This window comes from Homo sapiens, chromosome 5 (genome assembly GCF_000001405.40).
Source record: "Homo sapiens chromosome 5, GRCh38.p14 Primary Assembly".
Lineage (NCBI taxonomy): Eukaryota > Metazoa > Chordata > Mammalia > Primates > Hominidae > Homo > Homo sapiens.
In genome coordinates this window covers 168,704,744-168,720,934 of record NC_000005.10, presented here as the reverse complement: position 1 = coordinate 168,720,934, position 16,191 = coordinate 168,704,744, and the positions used below count along the sequence as shown (strand labels likewise).

Below are 16,191 nucleotides of genomic sequence, written 5' to 3'. Positions count from 1 at the left end.
GCCATTCCAGGGCCGAGTAGCAATCCACAAACAGCACCCAACAAGCTAGTCCATTTCAGAGCCTCCAGGCTGATGTGATTTATTGAGGCCCACAAAACACCGGTGTCAGTGACAACTCCCGCCACATGTCATCTGCGCTGTTATTAAAAATCAATTCTCTGGGGGCAAAGAAGTGCCCGCGCTGACAGTGTGCAATCTGTTATTGTCACTTATTTATTATCCACCTTCTCTGGGGAGTTTGAGAATGGATACATCAGCACAACCATTTCCCTGTTTCCAGTTGAACACAGCAGGAGATGGGCTCGTATCACTGGCCAGGGCTGAAGCCGGACCTGCTCCCCCTTCCTTCTCCTACCATTCCCCCTCAATCCCAACCTATTGTCTTCCATCCCAGTCTAATAGTTCCGTGTGTGGGTTCACTGCCAGGAGGTGGGACCTGCCAATTTTAAGGAATCTGCATGCATCTGTTCATAATTAGAGTAGTGATGTTTGGGGCAACTCAATATGTAAGAGGGAGAGAAAATGTTTGCCCGTCCATCTGTCTGTCTTTTGGGGTGGTGGGGGTGATGGGGTGAACACCACCAGCCTGACCAGGGTTTTCTCTTTCCTCAGCATCATTTGTCCCAGTCTGGCACTACTACTGCCATGAGTTCATCAGCGGTACACGTAACCATACAACACGCTAGCACTTGCTTCTTGAAATACGAATTAGTAGGCTTGCCCCAGCATGGTGGCTCACACCTGTAATCCCAGCACTTTGGGAGGCCGAGGTGGGAGGATTGCTTGAGCCCAGGACTTCAAGACTAGCCTGGGCAACATAGTGAAACCCTGTCTCTACCAAAAAATTCAAAAAATTAGCCAGGCATGGTAACATGCGCCTGTAGTCCCAGCTACTTGGGAGGCGGAGGTGGGAGGATCATTGGAGCCTGGGAGGCAGAGGTTGCAGTGAGCTGAGAGCACGCCATTGCATTCCAGCCTGGGCAATAGAGCCAGACCCTGTCTCAAAAGAAAAAAAAAAGAGAATTAATAGGCTTTTAGCATCATCATTTTAGAATCATGAGATCTTGTGCATAAAAAGGGATCTTAGAGCACCTCAGTCCAACCATCTACCTCAGTGGGGAGCAACCATTTTCTGCCTAAGGGCCAATTCAGGAAAAGTAAAAATGTCCTTTCTCCCACTAATTACACACCTAGGAATTTAGGTTAAAGAATCATCCAAAATGAGGGAAGATTCTGTGCATTAAAATCTTTGTTGTACTGTTATTTTTAACCTAAATTTTAAGTATTACCTACAAGGGCCACAGTGGGGAAATGTTTAAGGAAACCATGAGGCAACCAGTCAATGAAGTACAATTATTAAAAGAGGCAAAGATGAAAACTAGATAGCAATGTGGGAAAGTGCTTATCACATAGCGTTACATGGAGAAATAAACCTAACTTGTATATATGTTACAATTATAACTTGTAAACATTTATACCTATGAAGAAAGACTGTAAGAGAGCAAATGAAAAAAATTGTGATAGTTAGTGTTTATATAAAGTCATTTCTATAACAAATGAAGGCAAAGTTGAAGATGAATGAAGACCGGGCATGGTGGCTCACGCCTGTAATCCCAGCACTTCGGGAGGCCAAGACGGGTGGATCACCTGAAGTCAGGAGTTCAAGACCAGCCTGACCAATATGGTGAAACCCTGTCTCTACTAAAAATACAAAAATTAGCCGGGCATAGTGATGTGTGCCTGTAGTCCCAGCTACTCAGGAGGCTGAGGTGGGAGGATCAATTGAGGCAGGCAAGTGGAGGCTGCAGTAAGCAGTGATTGAGCCACTGCACTCCAGCCTGGGTAACACAGAGCAAGACCTTGTTTCAAAAGAAATAATAAATCAATAAAGATGAATGAAGATGGTAACATATTTACAACTGAGGGAGTTGGAAGAAAGATTGGCTTTTTAAAATCAGGAATTACATTATCTGCAACTGCATTTGAACATTTGTATATTCTTTCCTCATTTCTGAGGGGTTTCATTCTTTTAATTAAACTTTCAGAAATGACCAGAGACCCAGAGATGTTGGGTGTTTGCGGCAGCAAGAAGAATGAGCATCAAGGTTTAGTTTGGGCGTAGACAAAGGCCAAAAAGTGATCTGGAAAGCAGGAAGAGAAAACTGACATTTAAGAGAGAGAGAGAAAGAGAGAGAGAGAGAGAATGTGTGTGTGTGTGTGTGTGTGTGTGTGTGTGTGTGTGTGTGTGTGTGTGTGTATGGGTGGATATGAATACATTTCAGGAGAGCACAACAGGAGGGTGGTCTTTTAGCCCTGAGTACAAAACATTGTGTGGAAAATGCTTTTTCTACTTGGCTCCGAATCTGAAAATAGCGAAAAGAGAACATTCTTGTGGACATCTTCATCCATCTTAGGGGATCCATGCATTCCCTGATCTTTGCTCCACACCAAGTCACATGCCTTGTATGCGTGTGGTCCCAACTGTCTTGCCCCAGTCGCAGGAGGGCCACCTGGAATCAGTTAGCTCTGGGCAGGCAATTTCAGTGTGTGCTCACGAAGGAGCCAGTGGGATTATCATTCACCATCCTCAGTATCTTTAGCTCCTAGTCCCCGAAGTAAGAATTGTGCTGTTTATACCCACGGGGCTGTTCATCACTGCTCTACCAATTGCCTGAGTTCTCCTTAAAACATCCCTGTAAGGGAGCCCTTTGCTTGATTACCTTCTGAGACAAAGAGATCACTCCCTTACCAGGCAACTCTATTCCACTTTTGACCAGCTATTAGAGCATCAGAAAATTCTTCTGCTGAGCCAGAAGGTGACTCACTGTGACCTCCCAACCATGGTCCAGGGTTGGCACTTTGACATCTGTAAAATAAAAATAAGTAAACAAAAGTTTAATTGCAGAATTTAGGATTGAAGAGTGAATATTGAAAATTTTTCTGTCCAAACGTTTCATTTATAAGAAGAAAAGACAGGCCGGGTACGGTGGTTCATGCCTGTAATCCCAGCACTTTGGGAGGCCGAGGCGGGTGGATCATGAGGTCAGGAGATCGAGACCATCCTGGCTAATATGGTGAAACCTCGTCTCCACTAAAACTACAAAAAATTAGCCGGACGTAGTGGCGGGTGCCTGTAGTCCCAGCTACTTGGGAGGCTGAGGCAGCAGAATGGCATGAACCTGGGAGGCGGAACTTGCAGTGAGCAGAGATCACGCCACTGCACTCCAGCCTTGGCCACAGAGCGAGATTCGGTCTCAAAAAAAAAAAGAAAAGACAGATTCAGAGAGGTTTAGTGACTTGTTCAAGATCATTGTCTTATTCATCCTTTCCTGAATACCTGCTACCGGTTAGTTGCTGTGCTTAACTCTGGAGGGGGAAAGAAAGCAAACAGTGAATGAGACACAATTGTTGCCCTCAGGGAGCTCTTGGTCTAGAAGGGGAAATAAGTAAATAAGCAACTACAACACAAGGCGATACCTGAAAGAAGAGCCATGGGGATACAAGTGAGAGGCACCTAACCCAGTCTTAGCCACCCAAAAGGCTTTCTGAAAGGAAGGTTAATAATCAGCACTGACATTCATCAAACCGTGACTATGTGCTGCACAAAGGGCTAAGTGCTTTAGTTATGTTATCTTAGTCACCCTCTGCCTTGTGAAGGATATACCGCTGTTATCCCCATTTCACAGATCAGTAAATAGAGGTTGAATGAGATTAAGTAACTTGCCCAAAGTGATGCAATCAGTAGGTAGTAAAGTTGGAATTTAAACCCAAGACTATTTGTTTTCAGAATCACTCCTCTTAACTTGTGCTTCCAGGACTGAGACTGAGAAACCAGAGGGGGTTACCTAAGTAGGGATGGGAGTGAAGAACATTCTAGGCCGGGAGAATATAAATGCCCTGGACAGAGGCCCTGAAGTCAGGAAAGGCATATGCACTGGGGGAATCACAAGAAGCTACAGGTGTGGCTGCAATGTGGCTTCTGGGGGCAGGAGTGGGAAGAGATGCTGCTGAGTAGCCCCAAGGCACAGGCAGAACCAAGGCTGGGACTCACCTCTGGGCTCCTAGCCCAGTGCTCTTTCTACCACATTCTACCTGCTTCCCCATCGCAGGCTAGCATCTGTTTTTATCTGCACCCATTTCAGACTGGAGGGAGCTGGCCTATGTAAAAATGAGGCATTTTCTTCCTCACCCAGAGAGGCCTCTGATGGGAATTGAGGAGTGGGATGAAATGGAAGATGCAGAGAGAAAGGGGACAGGCGCTGACCGCTCTGCCAAGATGCAATGTCTCCTCTGCAGTCCTGGAATCAGGTCACAGGACTCACCACGGCCTTTGAGACATACAAGCTGCACACTTTCAGGCTTCTACCCTATGTGGGTAACTCCCAGAGGACTGGCCCCAAAATCCACTCAAAAACATAGAGGAGGAGTCATGACAGTGATAACAATCATCATAGCTAATGTGACTGAGTGCTTCTGAACCACTGGCATCTGGTCTTTTAATGCTTACAGCTAGCTTATGAAGTGGTATATTAGCTTTCCTCCTGGGCAAAGAGGAAGAAAATCAGTTCAAACCACCTTAAGCATAAAGAGAATTTATCAACTCAGATAACTGAAGAAGGCACTGGAAGATACCGGGCTCTAGGGCTGGATGCAGGTACTGCAATGATACTGTCAGAATGTGTCTGTTATCCCAGCACTTTGGGAGGCTGAGGTGGGCAGATCCCAAGGTCAAGAGATCGAGACTATCCTGGCCAACAGGGTGAAACACTGTCTCTACTAAAATTTAAAAAAATACAAAAATTAGCTGGGCATGCTGGCGCACACCTACAGTCCCAGCTACTCAGGAGGCTGAGGCAGGAGAATCGCTTGAACCCAGGAGGTCGAGGTTACAGTGAGCCAAGATCATGCCACTGCACTCCAGCTTGGCAAGAGAGTGAGACTCTGTCTGAAAAAGAAATATGTAGGCTGGGCGCAGTGGCTCATGCCTGTAATTCCAGCACTTTGGGGGGCCAAGGCAGGTCGATCACCTGAGGCCTGGAGTTCAAGACCAGCCTGGCCAAGATGGCAAAACCCCATTTCTAATAAAAATACAAAATTAGATAGGCCTGGTGGTGCACATCTGTAATCCCAGCTACTCAGGAGGCTGAGGCAGGAGAATCGCTTGAACCGGAGAGGCAAAAGTTGCAGTGGGCCAAGATCGTGCCACTGCACTCCAGCCTGGGCAACAAAGTGAGACTGTCTCAAAAATAATCATAAAATAAAAAATAAAATGTACCTCTGCCTCTCGCCCTGTTTTCCTAAGTGGATTTCATTCTCAGGCAGTCTTTCTCTATTTAAGACACAGAGGGTCCTGATGGGCTGAAAGTTTACATTCTAGCAGCTTAGCAGCCCCACAAAATTAAACTGCTTCTGCCCTCATCGTTCCAGAGAGAGCCCCAGAAGTGTCTCTCCTTGGCTCCCTTAGGTTGCATGCTCAACCTCACACCAATCACTGTGACTCTGATTGGCCAGACCTGAGCCATAGGTTCATACAGAGGCCAAACCACTGGGACCAAGAGGTGGGGAGGGGTAACCCCCAGTAGAAAACAGAGGAACGGCTACAGAAAACAGCATTGATGCTGAGAAACCCACATCCCCTAAAAATGTCTACTATATGTAGTTACTAAGAATTCCTCCATTTTAGAGATGAAAATATCTGAGAAACCAAAATATCTGAGAAACCAAAAAATCTGAGAAACCAAAAGTCAATTGTCTCAGCTCACACAGCCAGTATCAGACGAGGGATTCACACCCAGGCAGTCTGACTCCAGAGCCTTGGGTTCTTAACCCCCAGATCACCTGGGAATAGCTTAGCCTGCTCAGAAGAGAATTCACCCACCCACACCCACATTTAGAATGAGGATAGTTCCCACTGTTTATTGTATTAACCGTAGGACCTAGGGGTTCAGAGACCCAAGGTTCGCGCAGCCCAGAACTAAGGAATGGTTATGCCCTAATGTTGCCCTGATGGTGCCCTCATCTGCATTCTGAAATTCTTAAGTTTGCCTTTAACATCCCCTAAGAGTTAGGCAAAGAGGAGGAGTTCCAAGTGCTTGAAGATGAGCCACTGAGAGTTGACAGTTGCTTGCCAGCCCAGCCGCTGGGAGGCATCAGGGAGAAGGGGAGGAGAAAGGGGAAGGAGCACTCATTCTCCCACTTCTCTAGCATCCTTTAGGATGGTTGTTTGACAGGCAAGAGTACTTCTTTGGGGGCCAAACCAGGATGGAGAACCTGCAGTGTAGGCGGATTTAATGAGTTGTCCTAGTAAATTATAATCCTGTTACTCTGCAGGGTTTTTTTGTTTGTTTGTTTGTGATGGAGTTTCACTCTTGTCGCCCAGGCTGGAGTACAATGGCACAATCTTGGCTCACTGTAACCTCTGCCTCCTGGGTTCAAGCAGTTCTCCTGCCTCAGCCTCCTGAGTAGCTGGGATTACAGGCGCCCACCACCACACTCGGCTAATTTTTGTATTTTTAGTAGAGAATGGAGCCTGACTTGCAGGTGTCACAATGCTAAAGCTGCCCTTGGGTCCTTCGGTGTTTTAAAGTTAGGCCTCATGCCTCTCCAGGGGCCCAGGCCTCATTTGGAAATGACTAACAATAAAGCTGGGTGCCTATGCAAAACAGCAAGCAGCCATGAAGCCATGCAGGCAGGGGCTGGTATGATTCATAAATAACCTCATGAACTAGAGGCTAAATGATGCTGATAAAAGTGTTAGGAAGTGCTTCTAGCTCTTCCTTACTCGGGGAGGTGAGAAGCTATCGTGAACACTCTAGATGGCTGTTTGCCATCTTCCTGCTGTCCTAGCTGCCTAAGCACTGAGGCTCACTTTCACCCTGAGAATTTCACCAGAGAACTGTGAGGTGGGAGGAGAAGGAGCTGATGGTGATGAGGATATCAATGGAGGGTAACTAAGAGGAGAAAGAGAAGAGCAGATTATATGGGAAGAGGAGAGAAATAAGGGCCTTGCCTTAAAGCAATAGGAGAAACCTTTCTAAACCCTTGCTACTGGCGTCAGCATCACCTCAGAGTTTGTCAGAAATGCAGAATCTCAGGCCTCACCTCAGACCCACTGAATCAGAATCTTTGGAAGTGGGGCTCAGGAATCTGCATATTCACTAGCTTCCAAAGCTCACTCAGTGTGAGAGCCACTGTTCTCTATCAAGAGTAATTAGGCTCATGTCTCTGTCAGCTGAAGACCAAGGGCAAGCTAACTTCAGTTGAAGGGAGAAGAAGAGCAAATTCATTCGTTATTATTCCATCTGTACTTCCACTGTCAACACTAATCGTCTCTTTGTTCTACTAGGACTCACTGCCTGCAATAAAGTTGTTAGTCCTTACCCTGAAGGGTGATTATTGCCAACACAGGTGATGGTGCCCATCAGTCACTAAAGAAGCCTTTGAGTTTCTATTAATTTGCAGATTTTTTTATGCAGTTGATGATTAATCCTTTAATGGAGAATATAATCCATGCGTTGTGGATTTGCTCGTGTTGCTACTTGAGCACGGAGCAGTGTTCATTGAGGTTTTTCATGCACCTATCCTCCAGGCATTTGTGGAAGGCTTAGTATATGGCACCACTGTGTAAGTGAGAATAGCTCCTAGCTGCCTACACCACAGGGTGGAGAGAGGCATGATTAATACCAAGTGGGGTGCCCGGCCCCTCCAACGTGCTGTGGGAAGATGCACTCAGGTGCACACAAGTGCCAGACTCGTGTATGTGTGTGGCTGATGCCAAAGCCGTTTCCATAACAATGAGTGTTCGGCTCCAGAGACTCTCCTCGGGAGCTGAGGACCCCCTCCCTCTGTCACCAAAGCTGGGATTGGTAGCATTTCTCAACGTGCCTAAGATCTCTTTAGGTAAATACGAAGGAAACTAATTTACTGACCTCCTTGATACAGATACCCTTCAAGACTCTTTCACAAATATTAATATTGATTAGTCATTTAGCACTTAGAAAATGCTGGCTCTCTCTACGTGGATTAACACACCCATGACAACTTTCCGTGGCAAGCCTTTTTATTCTCATACCTGTTTTACAATAGAGGCTGAAGCACAGAGAGGGTAAATTGCTTTGCCCTTAGTCACACAGCTGGTAAGCGACAAAGTCAGGTTTGACTCACACAGCCTGGCTCCAGAACTTCCGGTCTTAAGCACAGCTCTTCATATGATCTCTGAAACTCCAGTAACTCCCTTGGGTCTCTTCCTTTCTCAGCTGCAAAAATGAAGGCCCAGAAAAGTGACGTAACTTATCCAGCATTCCACGGCTAAGAGAGACTGGTTTCTGATTTCGCCTCAGGTCTATCAGATTGAAAAGTCCACCCCCTTCTTCCGCAAACCCTCTACTCCCTCCATCCTTGCTGCTGAGCTGGGCATAGAACATTCATGCACCCAGAGCAAAGGGGGCAGCAGCTACTGCTAGGAGCAGTGGGGCTCTGAGCAAAACTGAAGGGTGGCAGGGCCAGGCACTGGAGGCCCTGAGAATATGCTAAATTCAAATTAGTGGATGCTAACCTTCCGACCTGTGCCCTCTGCTTCAGAACCCTCCATGGCAATGACATTTCCAGCGTTCCTGAAGGCTCCTTCAACGACCTCACATCTCTTTCCCATCTGTAAGTAGCAGTGTTTCTCCCCAATGAACATTCAAAACATGAAAGCATGAAAGTGTCAGCGACAATGTCATCACTGTCAGCATTTTGGCAGATGTCCTTTCCTTATGCATACAGTATATTATACAACTATGTATCCACACTATGCATATTGTCTTGTTTCCCACCTCAGAAGCCTTCAAAGGAATCCTCAATTATGTAAACACTGTAAATATTTAATAAGAACTAATAGAAAACATGTACTATGGGGTAAACACTTTAGATAAGTTTTCTATTTATTTCTTACAACTGTAAGGCATTTTTATCCTTTTATTATATATAATAACATTGTGTCTAAGCATGGCACAGCTAGCAGATGGCAGGGCCCAGGATCAGATCTAGGTTTGCCTTGACTCCAAAGCACATATTCTTAACCACTTTGCACTCTGCAACAGGTATTCCCTTCTTATTTTACACAGGAAAAACTGAGGCCCATAAATATTAGGTGACTAGCTAAAGTTTGACTATCAGGTCAGTGAGATGTTGGACTAGAATCTAGATTCCCTCACTCCCAGGCCAGACCTCTCTTCCACAGATCAGGAATCTCTACATTTTTTTATACACCTCTGTCAGTGAACATTTTCGAGTTTGTATTCCTTCTATATGCATATTTAATTATTTTCATAATGTGTGCATACACTATAATACGGATATACTACGTATGCATATTCTAAAACTTTCAAAAGTAGAATTGTTAAAGGATATAATTTAAAAAAAAAAACAGAATTTCTAGTATTTTCGTCCCAGTCACAACTGGGATGAAAGTCTAGCCAAGTGGTTTGAAGCTGCTCCCTAGGTTGCTGGGTTTCAGAACCTTCTCTGCAGAGTATATCCTCCAGTGGACCCTTCAACAGGGCAAGGGAACCAGATAATCAGATGGCCAGTGATCCAGGAAGCTCCCTAAAGGAGCTAGGATGGGGTTGAGTTGAAGAGTGAGTCTTACTTGCGTAGGTGAGAGCCACGCCTCAGAAGTGGAAGGGGCTGGGATGGGAGTTGAAACTTCCACAGGATTGGAAGTACACTCTGGAGATATTAACTTTGCCACAGTGGAGACGACTACTCCGCTGGCCCCATATTGGATACCTCCAGTCTAGCCAAAGTCTGAAAATGCATTTCCAGAGAGCCAAGGATATGAAGGCTACTGGCCAAGCTGGGCAGGGGGCCCTGACTTCCTGTTCTGCCTCCTAGGGCGCTGGGAACCAACCCACTCCACTGTGACTGCAGTCTTCGGTGGCTGTCGGAGTGGGTGAAGGCGGGGTACAAGGAGCCTGGCATCGCCCGCTGCAGTAGCCCTGAGCCCATGGCTGACAGGCTCCTGCTCACCACCCCAACCCACCGCTTCCAGTGCAAAGGTAGGTGACGCCCACACCCCACCCTCCCCTGCCCCTCTTGGGGTCTGCTGTGTTCCCAGCAACCTGTCAGAGCAGGGTATCTCAACAGATGTGGCTTCAGAAACCTTCACCCTGTCTCTTCCATGGGTCCCACAAAGAGGCTCAGATGCTGACGCTGATGTGAACCCTCATCTAATGGGCCAAGTGTCATTCTCTCCAAGTTCCCTGCTGGCATTGCCACACATCTCCTCACTGACTTCTTTCTGTACATGTCTTTCCATAGTGGAGAATATCTTTTTTTTTTTTTCATCTTTTGTAGAGACAAGGTCTCACTATGTTGCACAGGCTGGTCTCAAACTCCTGATCTCCAACGATCCTCCTGTTTTGGCCCCCCAAAATGCTGGGATTACAGGCATAAGCCACTGCACCTGGCCTTGAGAAAAATCTTCAACCTGCATTTTTTAATCCAACATTATTAAAACATAAGCATTTTCCCATTTTATCCAGCAAACTTTTGTACATGTGATTTTTTTATTGATCATATTATAACAACAAACTACTACTGAGTTTGTATGCAACAGGAATGATGGTAAGCACTGTCTCATGTATTTTCTTCTCATTCTTCATGTAACAACTTATTTAATTCTCTAATACCTCTATGTGATCAACTTTTAATATTATCCTCATTTTTAAAAATGAGAAAATTGAGGCTTACCAGGCTTCCAGGTCCATCTGATTCCAGAATGCGCAGTCTTTATCACCAAGCCATAATACTCCACTGCCACTTAATCCATTTCTGGTTTTGAATCTTTCGAGTATTTCCATTTTTTTGTCTTACCATTGACACATAAAGATCTTTCTCTGTTTGAAATCATGTCCTCAGATAAGACTCAGAGAATAGAAATTACTGAATCAAAGTACATTATTATTTTTAAGGTCTTCACACATTTTGCCAAATTGATTTTCAAAAAGGGTTATAACCAATTTACATTCCCAGTAGCATCCTTTGGTTGCATTTTTCATTAGACTCTCATTATTTTCTCTTATTTTCTCATTGCTAATTCAATAGGTTAAAAAAAAAAAACTCCTTTTATTTTGTCTTTGATTATTGGGGAACCTGAATTTTTCATCAAAAACGTACTTTTCATTTGTATACACAGTTGTTTGATAATCTCTTTTGCTCATCTCTGAGAGGCTTAATACTTATTTTGATATATAGATACACTTTAATTACCCTCTCAAACTTTAGTGTGTCCTACACTTCTGCTGCAAGCAGAAAAACATTCCATTGGCTTAAAGCTAATTTTAATTTTCCTCCTCCTGCTTCTAAGCTATCTGATCTGATACTAAAGAGGCTCACCTAGGCCAAGAACAGTATAGGTCTCAATCTTGGCTGCACATTTGGACATCATACAGGAGCTTTTAAAATTACTGAAGCCTGGCTCCACCCTCTAGGTTTAGATTAAATTGGTCTGGGGTACAACCTGGGTGTGGGGACTTTTAAAAGCACTGCAGCCAGGGTCCGGGCACGGTGGCTCATGCCTCTAATCCCAGTACTTTGGGAGGCTGAGGCGGGCAGATCACTTGAGGTCAGGAGTTCAAGACCAGTCTGCCCAACAAGGGGAAACCCCATCTCTACTAAAAATACAAAAATTAGCCAGGTGTGGTGGCGCATGCTTGTAATCCCAGCTACTTGGGAGGCTGAGGCAGAACTGCTTGAATCCAGGAGGTGGAGGTTGCTGTGAGCCGAAATTGCACCACCACACTCCAGCCTGGGCAACAGAGTGAGACTCCATCTCAAAAAAAAAAAAAAACAAACAGAAAACAACACTGTAGCTGGTAGTGTAAGGCAGCTAAGTCATCTGGGTTTTGTCTGGGCCATTCTTGGTTTTAGCACTGAAAGCTCTGTGTCCTGCAAACCCCCTCAGCCCCAAGCAAACCAAGACAGATAGTCTTCCTCTTCTAATGTGAAGTCGGGTTGAGCCCCTGGTACCAGCTCTCAATCAGGCCATTCTTTTTACTCATCCACAAACAGTCACTCACTGAAGTTCATCTCAGCCCATCTCCAAGTTGATAACTGTTAACCCCAAGGTCATTTATAGTCCTGACACTAAATATGGCCTGTTTATCCAGGGCTCATTGTCAAAGCTGGCTGCAGCAGCAGGACACAGCCCCCTTTGCAAAGCTCTGGGAAGGACCCTGACCTCCCTCCAGTGCTCGCAGCTAAAGCAAGCACACGGCTGAAACGGTCACAGACGTAACATGTACCTGAGCAGTTTTCTGTCCATTGTCAGCATCATCGCTGTGTCCTCTGGGGCCATCCATTTCTTTCTTCCAAGGTTTTCCAGGGGGGACTTCCTCTGTGTGCCTTTGGCCCAAGCACTGTGCCCTGCTTAGCCTGGCACAGACTATTCCATGGGGAGGGGTGTTTGTGGGTAGAAAAATGGGAGGTCCGAATGGAGCCTGGGCCCAGAGCTTCCTGGAATATGAAAAGATACACAGGGGGTTTCTAATTATGGTGCATTGTTTGCAGATTAGCACCAAAATCGGATCAGGCTAATTACAGTAATTGATTTGACTGCAGAAGTGTTTCTGAATGATGTCCCACTGTGATTTTTCCTCACTGGACAGTGGCTGAATTAATGGGACTCTAGCTGGACTGGATGTGCTGGCTGAGGAGAGCCAGCTGCCATCTGGGCATGGAGTTGGGAAGGGGCTGGCGCTGGCTGAGGGAGGGCCCAGAGCAGAGGGGAAGGGAGGTATGGCAGTGAGCGCACTCAGGACCTGCCATCAGTACTCTGGTTTTGCTGCCCAGGGCCAGTGGACATCAACATTGTGGCCAAATGCAATGCCTGCCTCTCCAGCCCGTGCAAGAATAACGGGACATGCACCCAGGACCCTGTGGAGCTGTACCGCTGTGCCTGCCCCTACAGCTACAAGGTATGCTGGAGGCCCTGCCCCCCCGTGTTCATGCCTCAGGCTCCTCCTTCAGCCCTGGCCCTAGAGAGGGGCACCATGCCCTGCGTACCCTCCCTTCTCCAAGGGACAGCCTGGATGAGTCCATCGCACAGGTCACCACTCCAAAGCAGCATTTGCCAGTAACACTGTTCTCTGAACTAGCGGGAGCTGCCAGTCAGAGAGGCCCCCATATGGTCTTGACAAGGATGTCCAGAGAGAAAGAGGAAATGTAACATTTGTATTTTCTTTGTGAAACATGGAGAAATTAAGTCTCAGAGAAAAAGTGTTTCCAAGTAGAGGCATCCCTTGAGCCCACTCTCCCAATTTCCCTTCTAAAGGGATTTCCAGAACCTCCACCCCACCATGCCCCTGCCAAACCCCACCCTCAGAGCAACCAGCCTTGAAAGTGCTGGTTCCAGCTTGATGTAAATATAGGGATTGGGGATTGAAAGGCCTAGGGGCTGCAAACTCACCCAAAAGGTTGATCGGCTAAGATCAGCCAGCAAGAGGATGAGATCCCAGTTCTCCCCTCTGTCCTCCCAGACTACCTCCAAGACAGTCCTTCCTTCTTTCACCCAGAGCACGGTGTCATGCCCCTCTGCTGACCCCTGTGGATATCGACCATGTGCCTCTCACCAGCACCTACCGAGTACAGACTGTGCCAAGTACTGTGCTTGGCATTTTACTCACCTGTTCAAACACCCCCAGCAAACCTAAGAAGGCCTCATTATTCCCTTTTTACGGATATGGAGACTGGGCCTCAGACTGTCAAGAGTTCAACTCAATGTCCGAAGCTTGTAAGCAGTAGAGCTGTGATTAAGACCCTGGGCTTTGTGATTCCAGAACCCAATCCTTTTCCCCTGGAGGGTTTCCTGGATAGCTGAGCCCTTCCTTGGGCTTCACTGGAATCAGCAAAGCTGTGGCTCCATCCTCTTCTGCAGGGCCCGCCCAGCTTCCAGCCTTCCCAGGGCACCCATCCAAAGGCACTGGGCAAGCGCAGAGTTTCAGGACAGCCCCACAGCCTGTCTAATGCACACATCTGATGCAGGTGGAGTGAGAGTGAGCTGGCATCCCCAGGTCTCTGCCCCCAGTGGGATTGTGTGTGCGTAGTGACAGGCTTAGAGGCAGCCTCATTCTGGGGAATGGGACTACCTGATGTATTTCTAGACGATGGCTGTGCTTCTAGCAGATGGTGTCAGAGTGCCACCTATGGGCCTGGGACAAGAGAGCCAAAGGATTCCCTTTGAAGCCAGCCACCTCCAAAGTCTTAAACTTACCACTGAGTCCCAGACCCATACACCGTCATTTCATAAGCTGATTATAAAAATCAGAGAAGAGACTAAATGCATAAGGTCCAGATGAGTGCCTGGCCTTTACTGATGATTCAAAAGAGAACTATACTATGTATGGAATTGAGAATGTTATAAATTCAGTCACAGGGCACCCACACACACAAAAAAAATAATAGGAGGGGAGAATAGAGATTAACAGCAGACATACTCAGGATGTGTGGATCCTCTCAAACTCCCTTGTATGGATTCAGCAGAGAAAATTCAGACTGTGCAATTACACAGAGAAGCAGGTGTGGATTCCAGCTTTGTCATTTACTAGCTGTGTAGCCATTGCTAGTAATTTCATCTGTCTTCCCAGCTGCAAACTAGGACCTGTCTCATAGGTTTGCCGTAAGAATCAAATGTACAGTAATGTACGCAATACACTAGGATGATACCTGGCATTCAGTGAGCACTCAATAAGCTGGCATACTGCTGCCTTTCACCTTTACCCTTGCATGGTGGTCCCTCATACCTGGGTGTGGAATAGGCCATCAGTAACAGGTGGTATGTTGCTAGTTTGATCCAGGATTATCAGTCTATGGCACTGTGAACTGCCAAGAAACTTCAGTCATTCTCCTAGAACTGTGACTGCATTTGTAACATTCTCAATTCCATACATAGTATAGTTCTCTTTTGAATCATCAATAAAGGCCAGGCACTCATCTGGAGCTTATGCATTTATTTTCTTCTCTGATTTTTATAATCAGCTTATGAGATGGGTAGTATCATCCCCATTCTAAAGATAAGGTAAACTGTTTCACATTCTGATTCTTGCTTCCTTCTCTTTAAAACTGGCCTGAGTCTGAAAGTAGTAGAGCTGGGTTTGAAGTCCAGGCTTCTTCCAGCTACACTTGACTGTACTATGAAGCATGACCTGACCGTCAGTGTCAGAGCAAAGAGAGTATCTTCAGAGCTACTGCAGGATAAGGCCACTTGTTTGAACTTTGTTCTCAAGATTCTGAACATCATGTCAATTTTAGAAGAATGTGAACAGAGATTTTGATCTTGAGGAAAGTGTTGAGCCCAGGCAGGTCTAGGGTGCATGATGTTGATGGTGATGGTGAAGATGATGATGGTGAAGGTGATGATGGTGATGGTATCGGTGATGATGACAAAGGTGACAATGGTGATGGTGTTGATGATGGTAATGGTGCTAATGGTACAGATGGTGGTGATGATGATGATAACTATGATAATAACAGTAACATAAGAGCCAGCATTTATTGAGTATCTACTATGTACTGACAGTAGACTAAATAAGGTACATGTATTATCTTGCATACTCCTCATCAGAGCCCTAGAATACAGTTCCTAAAATGACCCTCATTTTACAGTTGAAGAAACTGAGCATGGTAGGTAAGGGAGTTGGGATTCAAAGCTCAGAACCAACTGACTCTAGAAGCTGTGCTCCTGGCCACTGCACTCACTGCCTGTTGGCAAGTGCAGTGATTGCAGGGGCTAAGGTGGAAGATCCCTGACTATTTAGGACCTGTCTGAATTTCCAGGTTAGAGACAAGTAGAGTGTAGCCATGGGAAGAACACCAAGCAGGACCCTCTGGAGCCTGTGCCTATGTGATGCATGACCTTGGACAGAACTCGCTCTTCTCCTCACCTCAGTTTCCTCAGCTGTAAAATGGAGGAGGTTGAACCCAAGGGATCCTTTAACTGAGGGTTGCATCAAATTCTCTGTGCTATGTCCCTGCTTTCCTTCTTGCCGGGGTTAGAGCCCGCCCAAACAGAGCGACTAAGATGGTAGTTCTGCATGAGTGGCTAACAGAAATCCCCAGATACCCACAAAACCAAGCTCAAAGTTCAGGCATTTACCTCTTTCCAGGTATCTCCATTTTCCCATTGACTAGCTGAGTGACCTTGGGAAGCCA

The 16,191-nt window shown here is 46.1% G+C and overlaps 1 protein-coding gene and 1 long non-coding RNA gene across 4 annotated transcripts in view, besides 1 other annotated feature; one reads left to right on the top strand and one right to left on the bottom strand.

Annotated features, from left to right (window-relative positions):
* SLIT3 (slit guidance ligand 3) overlaps positions 1–16,191 on the top strand; it is a 639,400-nt gene that overhangs the window by 580,205 nt on the left and 43,004 nt on the right. For 2 of the 3 annotated variants that reach the window (NM_003062.4, XM_017009779.1), the window contains exons 24-26: positions 8,581–8,652; positions 9,877–10,040; positions 12,835–12,959. In NM_003062.4, the coding sequence (NP_003053.2) occupies positions 8,581–8,652; positions 9,877–10,040; positions 12,835–12,959 (361 nt within the window). Of the gene's footprint in view, positions 1–8,580; positions 8,653–9,876; positions 10,041–12,813; positions 12,960–16,191 lie in introns of all 3 variants that reach the window. The other variant, NM_001271946.2, reaches the window with a different exon arrangement.
* SLIT3-AS2 (SLIT3 antisense RNA 2) lies at positions 51–14,008 on the bottom strand. The gene is made up of 7 exons (NR_130737.1): positions 13,668–14,008; positions 12,288–12,498; positions 10,735–10,880; positions 8,555–8,650; positions 8,164–8,255; positions 2,750–2,866; positions 51–996 (listed from the first exon to the last, which is right to left on the bottom strand). It is a non-coding gene; the product is annotated as an SLIT3 antisense RNA 2 (long non-coding RNA).
* Positions 7,624–8,823: an enhancer, noted in NCBI's record as "P300/CBP strongly-dependent group 1 enhancer chr5:168139117-168140316 (GRCh37/hg19 assembly coordinates)". NCBI's record gives its function as "activates an origin of replication core promoter dependent on BRD2, BRD4, P300/CBP, MED14 and CDK7 cofactors, with strong dependence on P300/CBP, by STARR-seq in HCT116 cells {active_cell/tissue: HCT116}" and the evidence as "EXISTENCE:reporter gene assay evidence [ECO:0000049][PMID:35650434]".